Genomic DNA, 18997 nt, shown 5'->3' with positions numbered 1-18997 from the left:
AGGGAGGCATCAGCCTGCGGCCGAGAGACTGTGGGAACCCCCCCTCCTCTGCCCAGGGTCCTCTCGTGGCCACGAGGACAGGGCTGGGCGCACTGGTGTCCTGGACAAACCACCTCGCTTCCACGGGACCCAGTGTCCTCATCTGCAAAGTGGGGTGGTAGTAATTCCTTTTTTTTTTTTTTTTAAGGCGGAGTCTTACTCTGTCACCCAGGCTGGAGTGCAATGGTGCAATCTCGGCTCACTGCAGCCTCCGCCTCCTGGGTTCGAGCAATTCTCCTGTGTCAGCCTCCTGTGTGGCTTGGATTACAGGCTTGTGCCACCACACCCAGCTAATTTTTTTATTTTTAGTAGAGATGGGGTTTCGCTGTGTTGGCCAGGCTGGTCTCGAACTCCTGACCTCAAGTGATCCACCTGCCTTGGCCTCCCAAAGTGCTGAGATTACAGGCATGAGCCACCGCGCCCGGCAAGGGTGGTAGTGATTCTGATGAGGGAGGGTCTCTGGAGCTTCGGACAGCCGCTCTGACCCTCAGATGGGAACCGCTGTGGTTTCTGCTGCTCTGGGCACTGGTAGGGGCTCCAGAAACTGACCGCTTCTGTGGATTTGAAAGCCTAGGTGTGCCGTCTCTCCTTGCAACCCTCTGGCTCTGGCTGGCTTGTGTGGACAGTCCCCCACCCCTACACATCCACCTTCAGGGACACAACCTTGTGCTCATGGGCAGGCCTGCCTGGTGCCCCTGCCCACCTCTGCCCTCCACTGAGTCAGCACGTGGTGCTGAATGACCCCCCATGGCCGCCCAGCACTGGGACCTGGGCCTTCTAGAGGGGAGGGGGAACTCACAGCAGGGCTGTGCCCCAGGGCCAGCTGCCTCAGTGCGGGGAAGGACCAGGCATGGGATGGCGTCCTGCTGGGGGGAGCCCAGGGTAGCTGAGGTGGGGTCCTGGAGGTGGGAAGGCTGAGGCCAGCTGCCTCCATTCGGGGGAGGACCAGGGAAGGGATGGGGCCATGGGAGGGGAGCCCAGGGTGGCCGAGGTTGGTTCCGAAGGGGAGGTTGAGGGGGAGGCTGAGGTCGGGCCTCCTGGGGCTGCTCTTTGCCCAGCAGGTGGCCTGTCCAGCCCCAGGGCTCTGCTGGCTCTGAGGACAGGAGGCCAGATCCTGGCCCCAAAAGGCCACAGATAGGTTCCTTCACTCATCCAGTGTGTCCCATGAGGGAAGGGCCCGCCAGGAGAGGGGCCAGGAGGGCATGGGCGAAGGTGTTAGAGGGGTGTGGACTGATGCCAGGCGGGCACCAGATGGAGCCTGGGAGATGGGCACCATGGCAACTTGCAGTTCCGAAGAGCGCTGGCTGCTTTGGAGGGCGGGGCCTGTTGAGTGCCTCGTGAGCCCCTGCCTGTGTTCCTGCCGTTCGGGTATGAGAACACAGCGGGGCTTACCCGGTGTGCAGGGTGTCCTTACACGCATGACACGCACGCCCGCACATCCTGGAAACCTCGCCTGGGATGACATCTGTTCACGGCCCTACCCGTTGGCTCGTCTCCACATGCGGCAGAGCTGGTTTCCTTCCCCGGTGACCCAGGTCTTGCTTTGCTGGCCGCCCCCTGCCTCCTTGTCCCCACGGCCCTGTCTGGTCCTCACTCCAAGCCGTCCTGGTTCCCTCTTCCTCGTGTGTGGGGAACAACCTGGAGACCTGAGCAGGAAGCCTAGGCTGCCCTCACTGTCTTCTAGCTCACGCCACCTCCAGGCAGCCTTCCCAGATGCCCCATTAGCCTGCAGCCCTGGCAGAGCATGCCAGGTGAGGTCAGCTGTGCCACCTCGGGCAGCCCTGCCCACACTGACCCTGTTTCTTGGCTCGTCCAGTGGGGTAGAGATGACAACACCTTTGGGGGTGTGCTGGGCCAGGAGATGGGGTGTTGAGGGGTGTTGGGAGCTGAGAAGTTGCAGGTGCTCAGTGGCAAAAGGCACTGGGGGTGGCCGGAAAATCTCCAGGGCCAAGTGGAGGGCAGCCGGACAGAAAGCTCCTAGGGAAGGGCATGGATTGGAGCTGGGTGCGGTGGGACGGGGCAGGCCCAGGGGATAGAGCCAGCGGGTCAGTGTGCCCTCCCCTGCCCAGGGGACACCAAGGCTGGCCCCCACCATGCCATCCTGTGGGCAGCAGATGGACCGAGCTTCCTCAAAGCCTGGCTCAGCTCAGGTGTCCTGATTTGGAAGCCGGGCTCAGCTCAATACTCCGAAGTTGGGAGGGATGCTGTACTGTCAGTTCCCCTCTGGGATGAGGGGCTCCATGGACCAGCAGCTGCAGAACGGGGTTTCCCCATGGTTCCCAGGACAGAAGCAGCACCAGAGGGGCCTGGCAGTGGGTTTGGCAAGGGGACGGATTCGAGGCAGCAGGTGGCACACGGGAGCCCTGCTGCCTGGCAGAGGCAGCACCACCTTCTCAGGGACAGTGAGGTCCCCGCACCTCAGAGGCTGGAAGGGCCTTGAGCCCCCGCTGTCCAGAGCCTGGTGTGTGGCCAGCAGATAGCAGCCAGCAACATGGTCTCCCGTGTTTGACAGAGTCCATGTTCCCTTCCCAGCCCCAGAGGGGCAAGGTGGGGTGACTGGGATCTGGGAGGGAGATGGGGGTCCCCCTGTAGCCCCTGAGACCCTGACCTCTCAGGGGTATCTGAACCCCAGAATTGGGAACTGGGCAGGCTCTGGTCACTCTGCCAACCCTATGTCCCCCTGGCGAAGCCAGGGTGGTGTCCAGTGGCTGGCTGCAGGACTGCAGGCTCTGGCCACCTCCTCGCCACACTGTGAGGTGTGGGGTCTGGGGTGAGAGGTCAGGGTGCTGAGGCCCAGCCTGGAATGCAGCAAGTCCAGGTGGGGCTGTGGAGCCCAGAGCAGGGGCAGGGGCCTGGCCGGCCCTCAGCCATGGCCACTCTCACCACACTGCTCTCCCGCAGACGGCGCCCCGCTCAGCGAGCTGTCCTGGCCATCCTCCCTCGCCGTGGTGGCTGTGTCTTTCTCCGGGCTCTTCGCCGTCATCGTCCTCATGCTGGCCTGCCTGTGCTGTAAGAAGGGCGGTATCGGGTTCAAGGTGAGGCCTGGGGGCCGCGGGAGCTGTCGTGGGATCCCGCAGGCAAGGCCTGTAGCGTCCACTTGACCCTGAGCTTCCCTCCTTCCTGGGGCCATCAAGGTGGCTGCTGGGTGGCCGTAGTTGCTGTGGGGCCACCTGGGGACCACGTGGACCCTGGCCCAGGGACTCCATAGCTCCTCCTCAGGGACCTGCCCCAGCTTCCTCGACTTTGAGGCCCTCTGTGGGGGGCGTGGTCTGACGCTCCCACTCCAGCCTGGGGTTGGGCCCGAGCACTCACGGAGGCTGAGGACAGCCTTGCAGGGGGCGTCGGGGGCTCTGGAGCTGGTGTGGGAGGGGGCTTGCCTCCCTAGAGGCCCGACTCCTGGTGGAGGAGCTGCCTCTGCAAGGGGCTCTCACGTCCCTCCGAATTCAATCTGCAAAGGGGAGTCCGGGCTGCCCAGACAAGCTTCCCGGCACAGGGACCTTCTTGCCAGTTGGAGTCACCTTGCGCGGGGTATCTTCTGCCTTCTGGAGGGGACGATGTGTGATGCTAGAGCCCAGCCTGCTGGTTAGGGAGCCCCGCCAAGGGTGAGGCCTGGCCTCACTAGGCTGCCCCTCTGGAGGCCAAGGCCCCTGGCCAAGGACAGGTGCCAAGCACTGCTCCTCCCCCTGCAAACCCCCAGCCCACCTCCAGCTGTAACTCTGAGCAGCAGGGAGGGCCAGGCAGAAGGAACCCCGGCCAGCATCGCCTCCCCCTCCCAGAGTCTCCATGGGTCCCATTCCTGCTGATGAGCAAATGACACCCTGGCCTGGACCTCTGGTGGTTCACACGCCCACGGGGGTCAGCCCCACCCCTGGGCCAGAGGTCAGATTCCTACGCCAGGAGAAGTCAGGGAGGGAGGAGGGTGGGAGGAGGCATTCTGCAGCGCGCACAGCACCCTGTCTGTATCTCAGGGTGCCTTCCTACTAAGTGACCCATGACTCAGCTGGCGCCACCCCCATTTGGGAGACAGTCCCAGAGTCCTCCCTGCCCCTGGTATGTCATGACGCAGAATGGGCCAAGGAGCTGGCTCTGCCCACCTGTCCCGCTGGCCTGGCAGGTGACGGTGCTGGATGTGGCCTTTTTGCCTTTTCTAAAGGCCACATTTTCCAGCCCATTCAACCTTCCAGAGCCCTCTGAAGTGGCCACAGGCCCCATCAACCAGTGAGGAGCTGCGTGCCTGGGGGGCAAAGCTGTGGCCCCAGGCTGTGGGGTCTGCACTCCTGCCCAGAGCCCCCACCCTGCTCTGGGATGTACCCCTGACCCGCTGGCACCAGGGGCCAGGCCAGGCCGCGCAGGCGCCTTCCTGGGGATCCCGAGGCCAGAGCCTCAAGGTCTTGGCGGGAGCAGGAGTGGAGGTGGGGCCTGGGTGGGACGAGTGGGGCTATTGTATAAGTGGCCCCTCCTTGGGGCACTGTAAGAACAAGGCCCCAAACAAGGGCTGGCCATAGCTCCTCCTCCTGCGCCCTCCTCACCTCCTTGGGAACATGGTGCCCGGAACATTCCAGCACCAGTGTGCCCCTGGGAAGTCCTGCCTCCACACTGGGCTCCCTCCTGGGATTTGGGGACCTGCGCTGGGCTCCCTGGTGGGGAGCTGTGCTGAGGGAAGGGGCTGGGCAGGCCCCCAATGCTGACCCTGTGCTACCTGATTGCACGCTGTATCGGCAGGACCCGGCTGGCCCCCGGGCAGCAGGTAATGCCTGGAGCCCGGGCCCGACCCCAGGGAGAGACAGCATCTGTGTCCTGGGCCCCTCTACAAAGCCCAGATGGGTGGGGCCAGGCCGGGGCTGGGATTGGAGGGCCCAAGAGGGGGCTTCTGGGGTGGTCTTCTGGGTCCCGGGGAGGGGAAGTTGCCCACGCAGCACCTGCGTCCCCCATCCCTGAGTGGCTGTGTGCTCCGAAAGGGCAGGCTGGGCCTGGCCTGCGGGAATACCGACAGAGCCACCTGCCCCTCTCTTTGCAGCCCAGGGAAGGGAGGCGTCCCCAGGGTCACACGTCGTACTTGAGGAGCCCAGGCCTCCCCTCCCACTGCACCTGCCTGTCCTCGGACTCACCAGCCCGGGTGCTGGCCAGCATCCAGCTGGAAGTCCCTTGACTCCTCTGAGCCTCAGCTTCCCCACCAGGGCACTGGGGGTTGTGAGGAAGGACAGAAAGGCTGTACCAAGTGCTCAGGGATTGGGGCTGTCATTGTGTGCCTGGAGCAATTGCTTTCAGCTGGGCCCAGGACTTTGGAGACTTTGGCTCTCAGCGCAGGAATGTGCCCTGGACTTGGGGGTGGGGTATCCCCTATACAGGTGCAGCCTCTACATTTCAAAATAGCAGCCTGGCAGGGAGTGGCCCAGCCCTAGGCTGCACGGGGCCAGGCTCTTAAGGAGTTCTGGGAGCTCCGGAGGTGGTGTGGCCACCAGGTGAAGGTCCAAGGCTGCTGGGGCAGATGGCGGTGGCAGGTGGGCTGCCCAGGGTAAAGGTGGCCGGTTGGCTCTGGGCTCCCAGACATCCAGGAATGCTCCTTGTCCCGGCAGGGGTGGGGGCACTTAATTGCTTCTCCCACAGGACTGTGGGGCAGGGGGTGATGGAATTCCTGTCCCCGAAGCTGCGCCATGGGAGGGTGGGACCCCAGGCACAGCCCGGGGTGAGGGGCTGCTCGGGATGTGGGTGGCTGAGAGGTGCTGGGGGCTGATTCTGGATGGGCAGGGCCAGCTGGCCTGAGTGCCCTCACCTCTGTCCCTTGGTTCCCTGCCTCTAGACCCTCAGGCCCCAAGGTGGGGCTCAGCCTGGGCTGCCCGCCAGGGAGGGATGGGGGAACTGAGGCCAGGCTGAGGCGCTGGTGCCTACAGCTCATCGCGCCCTTTCTGGAGTCTGAGATGGGTCCTCTTGGCTCTGGGATCTGCCTCTGGCCCCTCATGGAACAACTGAGCCTCTGGTCGGGGGCGTGGGGGTCAGCAAGAGGAGACAGATGGAAGGGCAGTTAGCAGGGGTGCTGGGCCATTGGCCTGCAGGGGCGGTGGCTCCAACTCTGGGCCGAGCACCCCCTCCTGCCCTGCCCTGGGAGCTCGGCCCTGGAAGAAAGGGGCCTTTCCAGGCCCAGCCACACCCTTCCTTGACCTGCGAGAAGCCCCGCTCATGCCCGGCCCGGCCCGCAGGAGTTTGAGAATGCGGAGGGGGACGAGTACGCAGCCGACCTGGCGCAGGGCTCCCCGGCCACGGCAGCACAGAACGGGCCCGACGTGTACGTCCTGCCACTCACGGAGGTCTCCTTGCCCATGGCCAAGCAGCCTGGGCGCTCAGGTGAGGGCTGGGTGGGGAGATGGGGTGGCCTCCCTCCGGGGCCCAGGTGCTGGGCGTTGGGTGTGATCTGGGGAGACCGGAAGACTCAGCTCTGGAGTGGGGGCAGCACAGGGCTGGGAGTGGCCTGTGGGGTAGACGCAGTGTGCAGCCCTGGACTCCCTGTGGCTGCGTCACAGGCCGCACTGTGGGGCCAAAGGTGCATGTACCTCTTTCTCCTGGGCCTGGGGGCCGGCCAGGGGTTGGCAGGGTCCAGGACAGCCCTCGGCCTCCAGCCTCCCCTGCCCAAGGGGCTGCTATGCACAGGGACAGGGGTGGGCACGGGGCAGGGGTGGGCACTGGGGCAGGGGTGCGGGCTCTCTGGTCCTGGACATGGCCATGTGCTGGGGGCAGGGGCTCTTCTGCAGTCCAGGGATGCTTGACCCCAGATTCCTGCCCCCTTGAGCGCCAGCCCTTCAGGGACACGGGTTCCATTGTGCATGGCAGGAGGAGGGGCGCTGGTGGGGCCCGTGTGGGCGGGTGGTGAATTAGCCTTTCACTCAGGCTGCGAGGAGGGGCCGAGGGGTGGGGCTGACCCAGGAGTGCAGGTGCAGGCAGGGCCTCAGCCACAGCCTCATCTGCCCCCATCCTAGGGTCCTAGGCCGACCACTCACATGGGGCGGACGTGCTGGGGAGTTTGGGGGTGAATGGCCAGGCTTCAGGACCTCCCAGTTCTGTCTTGGAGCCTAGGTGGTGGGTGCGGGTCCCTCCAGAGCTATCAGATCTCAAGCCCCCTCCCAGGAAGCTTCCAGCCTGAGGCTTCCCCCATCACTGCCCACCCCCAGCTCCTCTGGGAACACAGAGGCAGGAGGGGTATCAGGCCAGTGGGAGGGGCCCCTGCCAGCCCTGTTGGGGCTCTGTTGGCACCAGGGCCTGTTACTGCGGTGCCATGCAGGCCACCTCACCTGCTCTGAGCCGTGCCTGGCTGGACCCTGAGAGCTGGCTATGAACTGTGCCTGGCTGGGCCCTGAGAGCCTAGCCTTCATCGTGGGCTGAGAGGCCCAAGGCACTGGTCTGGGACCTAGAGAGGGCCCCCAGCCCCCAGCTTTGGAGCCAAGGCCTCAACGCCTGTCCTACTCTGCCCCATCTCCTGGAGGACAGGTTCCCAGTTCGGCAGGAATCAGGGCTGGCACTTGAGCTCGAGTACATCTGTGGGCGGGCGCGGAGGACTGCAGCCACCCACTCAGAGCGTGAGGCCCTCGGACCTTCCCGGATGGCTGTGGGGGTCCCTGAGCCCTGTGCTGACCCTGCTGGGAGCTGCCAGGGACCATCCGAGGGGGTACTGCCCTTGGGTCCAGGGGCAGGTGTGTGCCTGGCCCCCGAAGATTCTCAGAGCCACCTCTGGAGGATTGCTGTGGGGACTGGGGTTGGCGAACAGGAGCCCGAAAGAAGGCACTGGTTACCTGTCTCTCTACTTTTGCAGCTCTGGTTTCAGTTTTCTGGGGGAGGAATGTGCTTCTAGGGAGGAGAGAGATTGGGGTGAGGTCAGAAAAGTAGCCCCAGAGGTCAGCGGGGAGAAACCTGGGCAATGGCCCCACCCGCTGGGGACCGCAGAGAAGGACGGCTGCCTGCTGCCTCCGGCAGTGCCCAGGGCCTCTGAACTGTCTCAGCACCCATGGTCAGGACCCCCACACTTGCTCAGGGACAGTGTGGGCCTGGGCGCCCCAGGGTGAGAGAGGGCCGCCCAGACAGGCTGGGCTCAGGACACAGCACCCGGTGGGCCCACACGCTCAATTCTGCCCTGCCCCGCCTCTACATTCTCTGGGTCTCCAGGCCCTGGAAGGAGCCCCCTCCCCCTGGGCTCTCCTGGCAGCCAGGCTCAGACCCAGGCCTGTCAGCCCTCTGGGCAGTTGACGTGGGAGCAGAATTCGGGGAATCCCTCGGGGCGTGGGCAGGCATGAGTGGGCTCTGCCAGCGCTGGCCCCTTCGTCCCGGGCCTCACTGACCCTTCCTCCCGCTGACCTCACCCGGCCTGGCCCTCGGGGAGAATGGGCCAGTGTGCTCCGTGCGGGGCCGTGCCAAGCAGCCCCCAACAAAGGAGCCTTTGGTGCGCCCGGCGTGGGATGCCAGCCTGCGGCAGGGTGGGGGTGGGCCGCTCCAGTGCCCTCTCTGTGCCGTGGCCCCAGCCTCTTGCTCAGCCACACTGCCTGCCTGGTGCAGCCCATGTGACGGGTCGAGCTCCGGGCCCTGCTGTCCCTGGCCGGGCTATCCCAGTGGCTTCAGGCACCTTCTCCAGACCTACCCAGAAAGATGCCCGGATGGATCCTGCAGCTCCGTGGCTTTTCTGGGAAGCAGCGGCCCCTGCTCTCAAGAGACCCTGGCTCCTGATGGTGGCCCCAAGGTTGCCAGCTGGTGCTAGGGACTCAGGACAGTTTCCCAGAAAAGGCCAAGCGGGCAGCCCCTCCAGGGGCCGGGTGAGGAAGCTGGGGGGTGCGGAGGCCACACTGGGTCCCTGAACCCCCTGCTTGGTTACAGTGCAGCTCCTCAAGTCCACAGACGTGGGCCGGCACAGCCTCCTGTACCTGAAGGAAATCGGCCGTGGCTGGTTCGGGAAGGTACGTGTCCCGCCTGGGAGGGAGGACTCCCGCCTGGGAGGCAGAAGGGACACAGGGCTGCAGACCTGCTCCTCCTAGGAGCCACCCCAGCCCCGACGGTCCCTTCTTCAGTCTCTGGGCCCTGCTGGACCCTTCCCCAGGGAGGTCCTCAGCATCTGGCTGCATCCCCTTCTCCCTAGGGGGTCCTGGGGTCAGAGGTACCTGGGGAGGGGCCCTGGGAGGGAGAGGAGCAGCCTCTTGCTCATGGCCTTCCCCTGACCTTGGCCTAAACGAGACACCTGGGTCCCTCTTCCTCACTTCAAACCCCCAGAGAGAGAGAGAGAGAGGGCAGCGGGGGACCTTGTGGGGAGAGTAACACGAAAGACTCAGAATATTACAGCCAGAGGGTTGCCGGGAGGGATCCGGAAGCCATACCTCACGCTGCAATGAGTGGACGGGGCACAGGAGGAGAAGTGTCCTGTCCTGGGGGCCGGCGTGGGGCGGGTGGGAGAAGAGTAAGGCCTGGAAGCCGGGGCCGGTGGAGGCGGAGCAGCCGTGGGTGATGCTGTCTGTCCCACAGGTGTTCCTGGGGGAGGTGAACTCTGGCATCAGCAGTGCCCAGGTGGTGGTGAAGGAGCTGCAGGCTAGTGCCAGCGTGCAGGAGCAGATGCAGTTCCTGGAGGAGGTGCAGCCCTACAGGTGGGAGGCCACCGGGCACAAAGGCCTGTGCTGTGCGGCCCCCTCCTCTCCCTCCCCTGCTCGGCCCGACTCCCCCTCCCCACCTCCTCCCAAGTCAGGGGCCGCCTGTCCACTCCCGCAGGGCCCTGAAGCACAGCAACCTGCTCCAGTGCCTGGCCCAGTGCGCCGAGGTGACGCCCTACCTGCTGGTGATGGAGTTCTGCCCACTGGTGAGCTGCTGCCCGGGGGGATGCTGGGGTCTTTGCTGAGCCGGGGCCCTCCCTTGCCCTGCCAGTGTCTGGTGCCACCCCCTCCTTGGGGGCCTCACATCCTCCCTAAAGCCAAGACCCAGGGACCCTGCCCCCACCACCTTCCAGAGGAGGCGATGGGGAGACCTAGCCTCACCAGGGAGGGACTGTGGGGGCTGGGCACAGAACAGGCCTGGGCTGGGGCTCCCTGCACCCCTGGGGAGCTGCCAGCTGCTTGGTCACCTGCTTGTGTGCCCTGTGGTTCAGGAGGAGGCATCCTGGGCCAACTGGGGGGGGGCACTGGCCCACTTGGGCTCCACGGCCTCACTCAGGCTTGCTTTTGCCATGGGGGGCTGGGCCTGGCCACTTCCCCAGGCTGCCTGGAGTTCTGGGCCTGCCCATCAACGCCCCCCGCCCCGGGGACCTGTCCCCCCCTCCCCCTGAGACCTGCCCATCAACGCCCCCCTGCCCCGGGGACCCGTCTCCCCCTCCCCCGAGACCTGCCCCCCACCCCCTTCCACATATGCAGCTCCTGCACTGAGCCGAGGCTGTCTGTGGCTGGGCTGGATCCCCTGCTGGCTTCCCTCGGGACAGGGGCCCTCACACACTGGCGTCTGGACTCCTGACGTTGACCGTCCCGGGGCTGGGCTTTCGGCAGGTCAGGGGCTGCCGGCCAACCCTCGACCACCAGCCCCAGACTCCATCAAGCAGATCCACTTGGGCCCTGTGTTTCTCTCTCTACCACAGGCCAAGGGACTCCTGCTGCCCGGGGCTGGCTGAGGGGCAGTGGAGAGGAAGCCTTCAGTCCAGCCCAGCCCTGGGGGACACGGCCCCCCTCCAGGAACTGCTGGGTGCTGGCCACTGTGCAGGGCACGAGGCTGCTCTGGGCAGCTGCTGTCCCTCAGCTGTGGGTAGGGGTGGAGGAGTTGGGGAGGTAGGTGGGGACCTCCCAGGGTGGCCAGCCCCCAGCCTGCTGGTGACTGCGCCACACCCCCTTTCTGCAGGGGGACCTCAAGGGCTACCTGCGGAGCTGCCGGGTGGCGGAGTCCATGGCTCCCGACCCCCGGACCCTGCAGCGCATGGCCTGTGAGGTGGCCTGTGGCGTCCTGCACCTTCATCGCAACAATTTCGTGCACAGGTGAGGGCGGGCGCGGGCCAGCGGCCGGGAAGCCCTAGGCCAGGCCCCTCCCCTGAAGGAAGGGCATAGGGCGGGTCCTGCCTCAGGGGGCTTGCGAGGACCGGCCAGGTTCATCTCATGCAGCATCAGACAACCACTATGCAGAGGGATTTTATGACGTTTTTGAAAAATTGGGAAGACAATGGTTTGACACCCACTTTGCAGGTTTAGACGAAGAGATGCGTACTGTCAAGCTGGCCTGTTCTCTGTCCCCGAGGCAGTCAGCCAGCACCCTGCAGCCCCGCGCCAACCCCACACTCTGCTAAGCCCTCGCTTTGGGGCTTGAGGGAGACAGACCCTGCTTCGAAGGACCCTGGAGGGAGGGTTCTGTCCTGCTTGGGCCAGGATGCCCAGCCCCTGGGGACCCCGGGGGGACATGCTGGAAGAAGTGGCGAAGGACACGTGGCCCCGTCAGCCCCAGACGCCGCACGGCTGTCCTCTCCAACAATATCCTGGTGCTGAGTGATGACTCAGGCGACTCCAGCATCAGTGATTTTGTTGAAGAGGGCAGCTGCCAGCCTCCCGACCTGCCTGCCGGGCCCCAGCTGCCCTGCCCCCAACCCCAACCCACCCCACTCCACCCCCTAGGCCCAGGACACATGGCCCTGTAGCGATCCCCTGGCACGCAGACATGGGTTTTATGTGGGGAGGGACAGGCTGGGTTGGCCTCTGTCCCCACCCTGAGTCCTGAGCACAGAAGTAATACGGCAGCTGTGGTAATATCTACCCAGTACCCTGTGCCTCCTCACACCCACGTGACCAGCCAGGCAGGGTTCAAAGCCAGCAGCCAAGGCAGGCTGGGTTGGAGGTAGTGCCAGGCGTAACCTGCATTCTTTCCAGACCCTACCCAACCCTGGGGCCAGTGGTGGCTCAAGTGAGAGTGAGCTCCAGCTCTGAGTGGGCATGGCAGGGCTGGACCCTAAAACTGGACTCCGGCAGCCGGCAGGACCCCTGGGACACTCCAGGCCTCAGTTTCCCCATCAATTCCCACCTCCTGGGGAGCCGAGAGTGATAGTGTAGTAGAGCTAGGAGGAGAGGGTCCTGGAGAAGCGTGGACCGGTCCGGGTGGGTTCCGGCAGGTTCTCACCCTCTCTAGGCCCCATTCTCCTCTGCACTGTAACATTTGAGGCCCACGCACACAGTCCCTCCCCAGGTCTCAGGGTTGGGCACAGAGTAGGGCCCTGGGCAGGGATGGGGGGTGGCAGTGTCTCCAACGCCCCTTCCAGCCTGGACTGTGAGCCATCCAAGTGTTGGCAAAGGACCCTGTGCTGGATGCCCCCGCCCGGCACACCCCACTGACCCTCCCCCTGCCCCCACCCGGCACACCCTGCTCACCCTGCTCACCCTGCCCCTGCCCCTGCCCCTGCCTGCAGCGACCTGGCCCTGCGGAACTGCCTGCTCACGGCTGACCTGACGGTGAAGATTGGTGACTATGGCCTGGCTCACTGCAAGTACAGAGTGAGTGGGGTGGGGTGGGCTGGGCTGGGCATGAGGGGCAGGGCCTGCGCCGGCAGGGGTGACCCGTCCCTGTGCCAACAGGAGGACTACTTCGTGACTGCCGACCAGCTGTGGGTGCCTCTGCGCTGGATCGCGCCAGAGCTGGTGGACGAGGTGCATAGCAACCTGCTCGTCGTGGACCAGACCAAGAGCGGGAATGTGTGGTGAGTGCGGCCCTGGTGGCACCGTGAGGGGCCGAGGCCGAGTGCCACCTGCCCACCCATGTCAAATCATGGCCATGAGTAGTGAGGTCAGGGGGCTGCCGGAGCCACCTGTAGTGGCCACACGCCAGCAGCCCAAGTGGCTGGTTGGGTGGCGACCCCACACCGGGGGAGATACCACCCTGACAGGGTGCCCCAGGGACCCCATGGTGGGGTCAAGGCATACGTACAGGGCCAACGGCCCGTCTTCAGCATGCCGGGGGGTCTGTCCTGAGACGGGGGCCTTGGTGAGTACCTGTCCCTGGGGAGAGGGTCTGGGTGGGGTGTTGGCTGCCTTCACGGGAGCGTAGGTCGGGCCGTGCCAGGCAGAGGGGCTGACGGTGGTGCTGGGATCTCCCACGGCCGCAGCCTGGAAGCCCCTATCCTGAGTGCCTAGCCCGGAGCGTTCATTCACACCTGGTGTAGACTCGGAAGGGGCAGGGCCGAGCCGCCAGGGGAGTGGTCCGCCCCGGGGTGGGCGCCCCTCCCTGCCTCACCTCTGCTGCTTCCCCAACCGCCCCCACCACTCCCGGGCTTTGGTCTGGCCGCCTTCTGCTTCTGGGGAACTCTCAGATCCCACGGGCCAGGCCCCCTCCCTGAGCTTTTGGGGCCTCCCCTAAGCCACTTGACTGCCCCATCATGGACACTGTCCCCTCCTCACCTCTCCACCAAGGTGCCCCTTCCTGGCCTGCCCACCCACTGCACGCTGGCTGGGGTCTCCAGTCACAGGGCTCTGGCCAAGGTCATGGTGACGTCTTGCCAAATCACCTCTGTCTCACTCTGCAGCCTCTTGGGACAGCCAGGGACCAAAGTGGCTGGGTGAAGCCACAGCCCACGGGGAAGGAGACCCCAGTTACCCTACCCGCCTGCACGCTCTGTGCACCCCTGCCTGTTACCCAGCCCTGCCCATGCTGGCCTGAGGCGTCCCCTCTCTCCCCTTCCTTCCCCCTCCCTCCCCCTCCCTCAGCCCCCTGCTGGTGCGGGCCCTACTCCGCTTTGGGCTCCACGCCCGCCCTCCAGCTCCCCCAGGGCAGCTCCCACACCGGGCAGTGTCTGGTCTTCAGTGCATCAGTGAATGAATGAATGAGTGGACAAGCAGATGGATTCGGCCAGCCCGGCCTTTATGTGCAGGCTCCACAGGTGCTGGGCTTGGGCCTGGCAGGGTGCACATTGCCTGCTGAAAGGACGCGCTGTCCTCAGGGAGGGGCGGCTGGTATGGTACCAGGCCCCGGTCCTGAGGCACTGGCGTGATGGCGGGAGCTGCCCCATTCGGCGCCCCGGGGATCCTGCGCGGTCCTTGCTGTGGCAGGCTGTGCCCAGCCCTGGCTCACGGCTGTCGCCCCACAGGTCCCTGGGCGTGACCATCTGGGAGCTCTTTGAGCTGGGCACGCAGCCCTATCCCCAGCACTCGGACCAGCAGGTGCTGGCGTACACGGTCCGGGAGCAGCAGCTCAAGCTGCCCAAGCCCCAGCTGCAGCTGACCCTGTCGGACCGCTGGTGAGGGCCCCACTGCCCTGTCCCGGACAGCCAGGCCGAGATGGGGTATCCTGATCCCCAGGCAGAGGCGGCTCACCCTGACCCCCTGGCGTTCCAGCCCTGCCTGGTCTCCCCTCCCCTCTGGTAGGGCCTCCACCCGCCACCTCTGCACCCCTGTGTACAGGGAGGGAAGGCTTAAGGATAGTGCCCAGCCCACCTCCTGCTCCCACGCTGCTGGGCTTGCCTTGGCAGATTTGGGGTGTCAATTAAGTGGGAGATACCCTTAATGCCCCCAAGACACTGGGAGTTAGGGGAACCCCCATCCCTGCTCCAGGGACGCGTTCCTGGCCAGCGTTGCCTCTGACGTGGCCCCCGGGGGACCTCCTCGCAGGTACGAGGTGATGCAGTTCTGCTGGCTGCAGCCCGAGCAGCGGCCCACAGCCGAGGAGGTGCACCTGCTGCTGTCCTACCTGTGTGCCAAGGGCGCCACCGAAGCAGAGGAGGAGTTTGAACGGCGCTGGCGCTCTCTGCGGCCCGGCGGGGGCGGCGTGGGGCCCGGGCCCGGTGCGGCGGGGCCCATGCTGGGCGGCGTGGTGGAGCTCGCCGCTGCCTCGTCCTTCCCGCTGCTGGAGCAGTTCGCGGGCGACGGCTTCCACGCGGACGGCGACGACGTGCTGACGGTGACCGAGACCAGCCGAGGCCTCAATTTTGAGTACAAGTGGGAGGCGGGCCGCGGCGCGGAGGCCTTCCCGGCCACGCTGAGCCCTGGCCGCACCGCACGCCTGCAGGAGCTGTGCGCCCCCGACGGCGCGCCCCCGGGCGTGGTTCCGGTGCTCAGCGCGCACAGCCCGTCGCTGGGCAGCGAGTACTTCATCCGCCTAGAGGAGGCCGCACCCGCCGCCGGCCACGACCCTGACTGCGCCGGCTGCGCCCCCAGTCCACCTGCCACCGCGGACCAGGACGACGACTCTGACGGCAGCACCGCCGCCTCGCTGGCCATGGAGCCGCTGCTGGGCCACGGGCCACCCGTCGACGTCCCCTGGGGCCGCGGCGACCACTACCCTCGCAGAAGCTTGGCGCGGGACCCGCTCTGCCCCTCACGCTCTCCCTCGCCCTCGGCGGGGCCCCTGAGTCTGGCGGAGGGAGGAGCGGAGGATGCAGACTGGGGCGTGGCCGCCTTCTGTCCTGCCTTCTTCGAGGACCCACTGGGCACGTCCCCTTTGGGGAGCTCAGGGGCGCCCCCGCTGCCGCTGACTGGCGAGGATGAGCTAGAGGAGGTGGGAGCGCGGAGGGCCGCCCAGCGCGGGCACTGGCGCTCCAACGTGTCAGCCAACAACAACAGCGGCAGCCGCTGTCCAGAGTCCTGGGACCCCGTCTCTGCGGGCGGCCACGCTGAGGGCTGCCCCAGTCCAAAGCAGACCCCACGGGCCTCCCCCGAGCCGGGGTACCCTGGAGAGCCTCTGCTTGGGCTCCAGGCAGCCTCTGCCCAGGAGCCAGGCTGCTGCCCCGGCCTCCCTCATCTATGCTCTGCCCAGGGCCTGGCACCTGCTCCCTGCCTGGTTACACCCTCCTGGACAGAGACAGCCAGTAGTGGGGGTGACCACCCGCAGGCAGAGCCCAAGCTTGCCACGGAGGCTGAGGGCACTACCGGACCCCGCCTGCCCCTTCCTTCCGTCCCCTCCCCATCCCAGGAGGGAGCCCCACTTCCCTCGGAGGAGGCCAGTGCCCCCGACGCCCCTGATGCCCTGCCTGACTCTCCCACGCCTGCTACTGGTGGCGAGGTGTCTGCCATCAAGCTGGCTTCTGCCCTGAATGGCAGCAGCAGCTCTCCCGAGGTGGAGGCACCCAGCAGTGAGGATGAGGACACGGCCGAGGCCACCTCAGGCATCTTCACCGACACGTCCAGCGACGGCCTGCAGGCCAGGAGGCCGGATGTGGTGCCAGCCTTCCGCTCTCTGCAGAAGCAGGTGGGGACCCCCGACTCCCTGGACTCCCTGGACATCCCGTCCTCAGCCAGTGATGGTGGCTATGAGGTCTTCAGCCCGTCGGCCACTGGCCCCTCTGGAGGGCAGCCGCGAGCGCTGGACAGTGGCTATGACACCGAGAACTATGAGTCCCCTGAGTTTGTGCTCAAGGAGGCGCAGGAAGGGTGTGAGCCCCAGGCCTTTGCGGAGCTGGCCTCAGAGGGTGAGGGCCCCGGGCCCGAGACACGGCTCTCCACCTCCCTCAGTGGCCTCAACGAGAAGAATCCCTACCGAGACTCTGCCTACTTCTCAGACCTCGAGGCTGAGGCCGAGGCCACCTCAGGCCCAGAGAAGAAGTGCGGCGGGGACCGAGCCCCCGGGCCAGAGCTGGGCCTGCCGAGCACTGGGCAGCCGTCTGAGCAGGTCTGTCTCAGGCCTGGGGTTTCCGGGGAGGCACAAGGCTCTGGCCCCGGGGAGGTGCTGCCCCCACTGCTGCAGCTTGAAGGGTCCTCCCCAGAGCCCAGCACCTGCCCCTCGGGCCTGGTCCCAGAGCCTCCGGAGCCCCAAGGCCCAGCCAAGGTGCGGCCTGGGCCCAGCCCCAGCTGCTCCCAGTTTTTCCTGCTGACCCCGGTTCCGCTGAGATCAGAAGGCAACAGCTCTGAGTTCCAGGGGCCCCCAGGACTGTTGTCAGGGCCGGCCCCACAAAAGCGGATGGGGGGCCCAGGCACCCCCAGAGCCCCACTCCGCCTGGCTCTGCCCGGCCTCCCTGCGGCCTTGGAGGGCCGGCCGGAGGAGGAGGAGGAGGACAGTGAGGACAGCGACGAGTCTGACGAGGAGCTCCGCTGCTACAGCGTCCAGGAGCCTAGCGAGGACAGCGAAGAGGAGGCGCCGGCGGTGCCCGTGGTGGTGGCTGAGAGCCAGAGCGCGCGCAACCTGCGCAGCCTGCTCAAGATGCCCAGCCTGCTGTCCGAGACCTTCTGCGAGGACCTGGAACGCAAGAAGAAGGCCGTGTCCTTCTTCGACGACGTCACCGTCTACCTCTTTGACCAGGTGGGCCGCCGCCACCCGGGGTCTGCCCGGGGCTGGGGGTCGCGCTCCCGCAGGAAGGGGTGGGAGCGGCCGCGGCTCCTGGCGGCCGAGCTACCTGGTGCTCTCTGATTCCTCCAGGAAAGCCCCACCCGGGAGCTCGGGGAGCCCTTCCCGGGCGCCAAGGAATCGCCCCCTACGTTCCTTAGGGGGAGCCCCGGCTCTCCCAGCGCCCCCAACCGGCCGCAGCAGGCTGATGGCTCCCCAAATGGCTCCACAGCGGAAGAGGGTGAGCAGGGGCGGGGCTGGGCCCGTGACGTCACGGGAGGCAGGGCCTGGTCCGTGCTGTGTGGGAGGCGGGGCCTAATGTGTGACATCATGGGAGGAGCACCTGGTCCTTGACGCGTGGGAGGCGGGCTTTGGCCCGTGTCGTCATGGGAGGCGGGTCTGGTACGTGACGTCACGGAAGGCGGGGCCTTGTCCGTGCTGCATGGGAGGCGGGGCCTGGGCCCGTGACATCATGGGAGGCGGGGCCTGGGCCCGTGACATGATGGGAGGCGGGGCCTGGGCCCGTGACTGTGGGAGCGGGGCCGGGCCGGGGTCCCAGGCTGTGAGCGCGAGTGACGCCGCGACCTGGGCTGCAGGTGGTGGGTTCGCGTGGGACGACGACTTCCCGCTGATGACGGCCAAGGCAGCCTTCGCCATGGCCCTAGACCCGGCCGCACCCGCCCCGGCTGCGCCCACGCCCACGCCCGCTCCCTTCTCGCGCTTCACGGTGTCGCCCGCGCCCACGTCCCGCTTCTCCATCACGCACGTGTCTGACTCGGACGCCGAGTCCAAGAGAGGTGAGGCCTGGGCGGGGCTGTGGCAGAAGGGCACGCGGGAGGCAGGGCACGGAGCTCCGAGGGTGGGGCCCCTCCGTCTAGGTCCTGGGCCGGGCCAGCCCCGGCTCCGCTCCGCTCCGCTCCTTCCCGGCCCCGCTCCTTCCCGGCCCCAGACCTAGCCTGGACCCCGCCTGGCCCTCGCCTGGCCCTCACCTGACCCTCACCTGACCCTCACCTGACCCTCACCTGACCCTCACCTGGCCCTCACCTGGCCCCTGCACTCGGCTCTCCTCTGCCTGACCCTACCCCGCAGACCTGCGGCAGGCCCTCTCACCGGAACCTTCCCAGCCAGAAGTCCCTGCAGACCCAGGTCCCACGGTGCCCCGGCCCCACGGTGCCCAGGTGGAGCCCTGCTGGGGGCCTGAGCCACCGCTCCCGGCCATGGCCCTCCACTATCCGCCCCACCCCAGGCTGGGCTCATCTCTGCCAGGTGTCCCTACCCCTACAGCCTCTGCCCACGTGCCTGACAAGTGCCCACCTCCTCGGAGAAGGCCCCCTGCCAGCTTCCTCTTCCCTAGCTGTCCTGGCCTGTGGCTGCAGCCCTGGGGGAAGGGCCTGTCAGCCTCACCCCTGGTGCAGGGTGCCCCCTGTGTGGCTGAACAAGCAGGCAGGTCACCAGGAGGCCACTGCATGACCTTGGCCATCCCCTTCCTGTTCAGGCCTCAGTTTCCTTATGCGTAAAACAGGACTCGGAGGCATTTGCTGAGAGTTGTTGGCCTGAGTCCAGTGACAGGAGTGGGGGAAATGGGTCCATCTCTCACCTAGACACAGCCAGATCTGCTGCAGGGAAGGGGCCCGGCCTGTATGTGGGCCAGGGATGGAGGCCAGGTGGGAGTTGCGGGGGAGGCAGCCCTGGTGTCTCAGAACCCTGTGTTCACTTTGTTGTCCTGCTTGCC

General features: G+C 66.5%; 1 protein-coding gene, 1 long non-coding RNA gene and 4 other non-coding genes across 9 annotated transcripts in view, besides 5 other annotated features; 4 read left to right on the top strand and 2 right to left on the bottom strand.

Annotated features, from left to right (window-relative positions):
- AATK (apoptosis associated tyrosine kinase) overlaps positions 1 to 18997 on the top strand; it is a 48927-nt gene that overhangs the window by 28780 nt on the left and 1150 nt on the right. Inside the window, exons 2-13 of one of the 2 annotated variants that reach the window (NM_001080395.3) lie at positions 2941 to 3074; positions 6237 to 6381; positions 8893 to 8972; positions 9532 to 9650; positions 9772 to 9859; positions 10882 to 11015; positions 12428 to 12512; positions 12594 to 12715; positions 14099 to 14248; positions 14619 to 17241; positions 17359 to 17506; positions 17862 to 18062. In NM_001080395.3, the coding sequence (NP_001073864.2) occupies positions 2941 to 3074; positions 6237 to 6381; positions 8893 to 8972; positions 9532 to 9650; positions 9772 to 9859; positions 10882 to 11015; positions 12428 to 12512; positions 12594 to 12715; positions 14099 to 14248; positions 14619 to 17241; positions 17359 to 17506; positions 17862 to 18062 (4029 nt within the window). Of the gene's footprint in view, positions 1 to 2940; positions 3075 to 5487; positions 5541 to 6236; positions 6382 to 8892; positions 8973 to 9531; positions 9651 to 9771; positions 9860 to 10881; positions 11016 to 12427; positions 12513 to 12593; positions 12716 to 14098; positions 14249 to 14618; positions 17242 to 17358; positions 17507 to 17861; positions 18063 to 18997 lie in introns of those variants that run through there. The other variant, NM_004920.3, reaches the window with a different exon arrangement.
- Positions 325 to 8284, bottom strand: LOC124904079 (uncharacterized). Of its 3 annotated transcripts, XR_007065937.1 has the most exons (4): positions 7821 to 8284; positions 1835 to 3046; positions 1521 to 1685; positions 325 to 1396 (listed from the first exon to the last, which is right to left on the bottom strand). It is a non-coding gene; the product is annotated as an uncharacterized LOC124904079 (long non-coding RNA). The 3 variants fall into 3 exon arrangements; XR_007065938.1 differs by lacking the exon at positions 7821 to 8284 and adding an exon at positions 5148 to 5397 and having other exon boundaries at positions 325 to 1685; XR_007065936.1 differs by lacking the exon at positions 7821 to 8284 and having other exon boundaries at positions 399 to 593; positions 839 to 1685; positions 1835 to 2439.
- MIR1250 (microRNA 1250) lies at positions 4134 to 4246 on the top strand. The gene has a single exon (NR_031652.1). It is a non-coding gene; the product is annotated as a microRNA 1250 (primary transcript).
- MIR3065 (microRNA 3065) lies at positions 11487 to 11565 on the bottom strand. The gene has a single exon (NR_036151.1). It is a non-coding gene; the product is annotated as a microRNA 3065 (primary transcript).
- Positions 11493 to 11559, top strand: MIR338 (microRNA 338). Its single transcript, NR_029897.1, has one exon. It is a non-coding gene; the product is annotated as a microRNA 338 (primary transcript).
- On the top strand, positions 12069 to 12166 carry MIR657 (microRNA 657). The gene has a single exon (NR_030394.1). It is a non-coding gene; the product is annotated as a microRNA 657 (primary transcript).
- Positions 17499 to 17793: an enhancer, noted in NCBI's record as "tiled region #11647; HepG2 Activating DNase matched - State 18:Pol2, and K562 Activating DNase unmatched - State 1:Tss". NCBI's record gives its function as "activates a minimal TATA promoter and a strong SV40 promoter by Sharpr-MPRA in HepG2 and K562 cells {active_cell/tissue: HepG2 | K562}" and the evidence as "EXISTENCE:reporter gene assay evidence [ECO:0000049][PMID:27701403]".
- Positions 17499 to 17916: a biological region, named in NCBI's record as "Sharpr-MPRA regulatory region 11647".
- Positions 17767 to 17916: a silencer, noted in NCBI's record as "silent region_9116". NCBI's record gives its function as "represses an Ori minimal core promoter by ATAC-STARR-seq in GM12878 lymphoblastoid cells {active_cell/tissue: GM12878}" and the evidence as "EXISTENCE:reporter gene assay evidence [ECO:0000049][PMID:35858748]".
- Positions 17904 to 18447: an enhancer, noted in NCBI's record as "H3K27ac-H3K4me1 hESC enhancer chr17:79092795-79093338 (GRCh37/hg19 assembly coordinates)". NCBI's record gives its function as "activates a minimal SCP1, AML or CMV promoter by ChIP-STARR-seq in naive H9 embryonic stem cells {active_cell/tissue: H9 hESC(naive)}" and the evidence as "EXISTENCE:reporter gene assay evidence [ECO:0000049][PMID:30033119]".
- Positions 18448 to 18991: an enhancer, noted in NCBI's record as "H3K27ac-H3K4me1 hESC enhancer chr17:79092251-79092794 (GRCh37/hg19 assembly coordinates)". NCBI's record gives its function as "activates a minimal SCP1, AML or CMV promoter by ChIP-STARR-seq in naive H9 embryonic stem cells {active_cell/tissue: H9 hESC(naive)}" and the evidence as "EXISTENCE:reporter gene assay evidence [ECO:0000049][PMID:30033119]".

Source organism: Homo sapiens, chromosome 17 (assembly GCF_000001405.40).
Source record: "Homo sapiens chromosome 17, GRCh38.p14 Primary Assembly".
Lineage (NCBI taxonomy): Eukaryota > Metazoa > Chordata > Mammalia > Primates > Hominidae > Homo > Homo sapiens.
The sequence above is the reverse complement of the archived record's forward strand: the minus strand, read 5'-3'. Positions and strand labels throughout refer to the sequence as shown.